Here is a 4,478-nt window from a genome sequence, read left to right on the forward strand (position 1 = left end):
CTATTGCTGCTGTGATAAATTATTACAAACTTAACAGTTTAAAACAATACAAGTTAATTATCTTGTAGTTCTGGATGTTGGACACCCAAAATGGCTTTCACTGGGCTAAAATCAAGGAGGCAGCAGGGCTTCTTCTGGAGGCTCCAGGGGCGAATAATTTCCTTGCCTTTTCTGGCCTCTAGGGGCTACCTGTATTGTTTGCCTCGGGCCCCTTCATCTTCAAAGCCAGCAGTGTAGCATCTTCAAATTTCTCCTTAACCCTGCTCTCATCCTCATGTCCCCTTCTGGTGTTTGTTTGTTTGTTTGTTTGTTTGTTTTTGTAAGGACACTGTGATTACACATCCTAGATTAATCTAAGACAATCTCACTATTTCAAAATCCTTAATTGTATCTACTAAGTCGCTTTTCCATGTAAGGTTACATATGCAGAAGTTTTAGGGATTAAGATGTGGCTATCTTTGGGGAGAGGGGGCATCAGTCTGCCTCTAATGGGCACTGATATGGTTTAGCTATGTCCCAACCCAAATCTCACCTTGAATTGTAAAAATCCCCACATGTCAAGTGTGGGGCAGGTGAAGATAATTGAATCACAGGGGCAGGTCCCCCATACTGTTCTCACGGTAGTGCGTAAGTTTTACAAGATCTGATGATTTTACAAATGGAGTTCCCCTGCACAAGCTCTGTTGCTGCCACCATGTAAGATGTGCCTTTTCTTCTCCTTTGCCTTCCTCTGTGATTGTGAGTCCTCCCCAGCCATGTGGAACTGTGAGTCCATTAAACCTCATTCCTTTATAAATTATCCAGTCTCAGGCATGTCTTTATTAGCAGCATGAAAATGAAATAATACAGACACCAACATATATCCTGCTGAAATTACAGAGGTTTGAGGATAAAAAATCATATGGGAATCATAGACAGAAAAAGTAAGTGACATACATGGGGAAAAAGTTAGCTTCTGTCTCCCTCCAGAAATAATAAGTACCAGAAGATTAGAGTAATATTTATAAACTACTGAGAAGAAAAAACTGTGACCCAAGAATTTTATACCCCCTAAATTTCCCTTCAAACGTAAAAATAAAACAAACCTTTCAAGTATACAACCTGTCATGCCTAAGAATTCATTTTGGAAAAAAAGAAATTCCTGAGGATCAAGTCCAGTCAATTTGGAGTTGAAAAAAAATGAAGAACTCAGGAAAAGAAATGTTGAATAAAATGAGAGTAAATCTCAAATGCATTTAAACATGAAACTAAGATGAAATCTCTATGGACATTATGATTGCAAATAGATTATAAATATAAAATTTAAAAATGTAATCTCCTAAACTCTGGAGATAAAGGCCTGTTTTCTACACTAATTTGCTCAGTTTTGAAAACAAAGAATCAATAGATACTGAAAAAGTTGGAAAAACATGGCTCATTATTGAGGAAAGTTCTAAAGATGTCCAAGCCAACTCTCTCAAGTGTTGATGACAAATTCTTATTCTTTTTAATTCCACAGAATCTCCTATCTATTAAAAAACTGCTTCCTAAGTCAGAAGGGGCTTGGCAAGAATACAAATAAACAACAACCAAGTAACCACTATCCCATGTATCAATAGCCATCTGTGGATTACAAAATGCTTTGATGCCCATGATTGAAGTTTGGACCTTGTGACACCTCAGTAATTGTGCCTGACATCTTCCATTTGCCCCTTAAGATAAAGATCCTCTCTCTTCCTTTCTCATCCTGCTCTCCTCCCCGGAAGTCAGACCTATGCTGGCTACATTTGTGGAACTGCTGTGTCCTCTGACTTTGTTTGTTTGCTCTGGGCCAATAGGGAGCCCCAAAAAATTGGAGGGAGGGAAGATACAGATTATCCTGGGCTAGCTCTGTCCCTCTGCTAAAAGTCACCATTCCTTGCAAGGCAGCAAACTCTACAGGAGTCTCTCCTTCTGTGTTCTGGGAACCACTCGTTTCCTTCATCATTGTGGCTGCAACCAACTTTACCCTCTATTGTGGTTCCCCTATACCCAAACTTTTGTAAACAGCCCCTTTGTTAAACTTCTTGGAATTATCCTATTGTGAGAATTCCCTTTGGTTTATGTTGGGACACTGATTAATACAGTTTCTTACATCCATTTTAAATTGAGCTAGCCAAGGCTGAAGTAAGTTATGTGATTCTAGACACAAGGGTCATTCTTCTATGTTGTCTTTCTTCCTAGCCTAGGATTAAATTTGGTTCAGAGCTATCTACAAAATAAATGGTTGAGGCACCTGCTCATGATCCTCTGGCAGGAAAAAATTCTAATTAATCTCTGGGGTGAGGGGTTATAACTCTAACTAGTCTGGTTAAATTAGAAATAAGCTTGCAATGAATTATATGTCTAGCTTCAAAGTTTTATTTTAAACGTAATTGACTGATAATACACAGCTGACTCTTGAACAGCATGGATTTGAACTGTGCAGGCCCACTTATATACAAGTTTTCAATGAAAGTTACACTGAGTGTGCCTGCCTCTCCTGTTTCCCCTTTCATCTCCTTCATCTCTTCCTCCTCTGCCACCCCTGAGAGAGCAAGACCTATTTCTCATCTTCCTCCTCCTCTTCAGCCTATTCAATGTGAAGATGATGAGACTGAAGACCTTTATAATGACCCAGTACCACCTGATGGAAAGTAAATATATTTTATCTTCTGTAGGATTTTCTTAATAACATTTTCCTTTCTCTAGCTTACTTTATTATAAGGCTACAGTAGATAATACACATAACATACAAAATATGTGTTAATCAACAGTTTATGTTATTAGTAAGGCTTCTAATCAACAGTAGGCTATTACTAGTTAAGTTTTGAGGGAGTCTAAAGTTATACACAGATTTTAGACTGTACAGGGGGTCAGTCCCCCTAACCCCTGCTTTGTCCACGTGTTAGCTAAGAATAAAAAGCAGTTGTGTCTCCCATCAGTCCTTTCCTTGTCTTTTGCTTTTAATGCCTTCGTGTAGCTCATCAGCAACAGCCTGGGTTCTTTCCACTCGCACTCTTGTCTGAAGTCTACCTTCAGTTCCTAGGCATTCCATATGCCCATCACCCAGTTGCTGTGAAGGTTAGATGCCAAATGGCTTCCAGCCACTCTTTCCCCAGAGGACTACTTTCAGTGCAGAAGGGGTGTCTTGCCAGGAAAGTTTTGTCTTCCCTCTGTGTAACCATGGACAAACAGCCAGTGACTGAGTGATATAGGGACATAAATCTGTGATACGGCTTATGTTTTAGAGCTCTCCCTATGGGATCTGCCTGAGGCTAGACCTTACCTAAGACCACATCCTTGCAATCCTTTCTCATCCCTTTTAATCCCCTTGAGGGTTTACCCTGAAGAGTGCTTTCTCGGTACATCACACACACAGAGGGATCCCTGTCCTAGGCTCTGCTTTGAGCCTGCACTTCCTGTGCTGTGATTTGATAGTCTCTGTACTAATTCCATCTTCCCTTCCCTTGTTTTTCAAACATTTCACATCCCTTATTGTGTGTGAGTCATTGCTTTTATGTGGCCCAACATCAGGAAGCTGTAGGTAAGACTATTAGTGCTCACTTTAATTATTTCTTTAGAAGTCATTCTGGGTCTGAAGATCATTACACCCAACTTCAAAGCAATCTTGACTCATATTTCATCCAGTCTATTTCACAATTCTGCAAAAGTAGGAATAAAATAGAATTTCCATGCTTTCTCCAATAAGGATCTTTAAATAAATAACATATTCATAAAGTTCTCCCAAGATTCTATTGTACACAAATACCAAGTACAACTTGTAGTTGTACTTAAAAAAGAGTAGTTGCGTTTAAAAAAAGAAGTTGACATCAACTCATAACTCTAGCATGTCTATTCCTGAAAGCAGAAACAATACTTGAGGCTAAGGAAATAAAACAGAATTAGGTTAGTTAGTTAGCTTGTGTTATTAAAGTTAACTTTAGATCCCTCCTAAGATGAATCACTTATTCACCCTCTACTGACACAATTTGTTATTTTGAAGAAGAGAGAGTTTAGGAGCTAAGAAATGGTTTATTTTAAAATATCTTTTTAATAGTGGTGAGCTTTTGAGCTAACCATAAAACTGCTGTACAATAAAGATGCTCATTAAGATAACAAAGGTAGGGCGATTAAAGTGAAACTGTGAGCTGCATCCTCTGTATCTGTATATGAGTCGTTAGGAAAATCCTCGTGACAGCAAACCAACAGAATAGGCAATAGGTGGTGCTGTTGCTATGTGTAATGCCTAGCAAAAGACAAGATGACGCATAAGGGGAAAATATTTGCCAGAAAGAGCACAAGACAAAAACATACCCCTAACTTCTGAATTCTCCAAAAGATGGCAGTGTCATTTCTTTGTCTCTCTTGTCTGAGCTCCACCACTTATCATTGTCTTGTTGAACTGAAGTGCTCAATTTTTGTGTTCTAGGCCAAAGCTATGGCCAACGTGCCATTTTTATATGAAGGTTGAAAGGATT

At 38.9% G+C, this 4,478-nt stretch overlaps 1 annotated feature.

The window, feature by feature from the left end:
* Positions 3,076-4,275: an enhancer, noted in NCBI's record as "CDK7 strongly-dependent group 2 enhancer chr20:9958069-9959268 (GRCh37/hg19 assembly coordinates)". NCBI's record gives its function as "activates an origin of replication core promoter dependent on BRD2, BRD4, P300/CBP, MED14 and CDK7 cofactors, with strong dependence on CDK7, by STARR-seq in HCT116 cells {active_cell/tissue: HCT116}" and the evidence as "EXISTENCE:reporter gene assay evidence [ECO:0000049][PMID:35650434]".

Source organism: Homo sapiens, chromosome 20 (assembly GCF_000001405.40).
Source record: "Homo sapiens chromosome 20, GRCh38.p14 Primary Assembly".
NCBI lineage: Eukaryota > Metazoa > Chordata > Mammalia > Primates > Hominidae > Homo > Homo sapiens.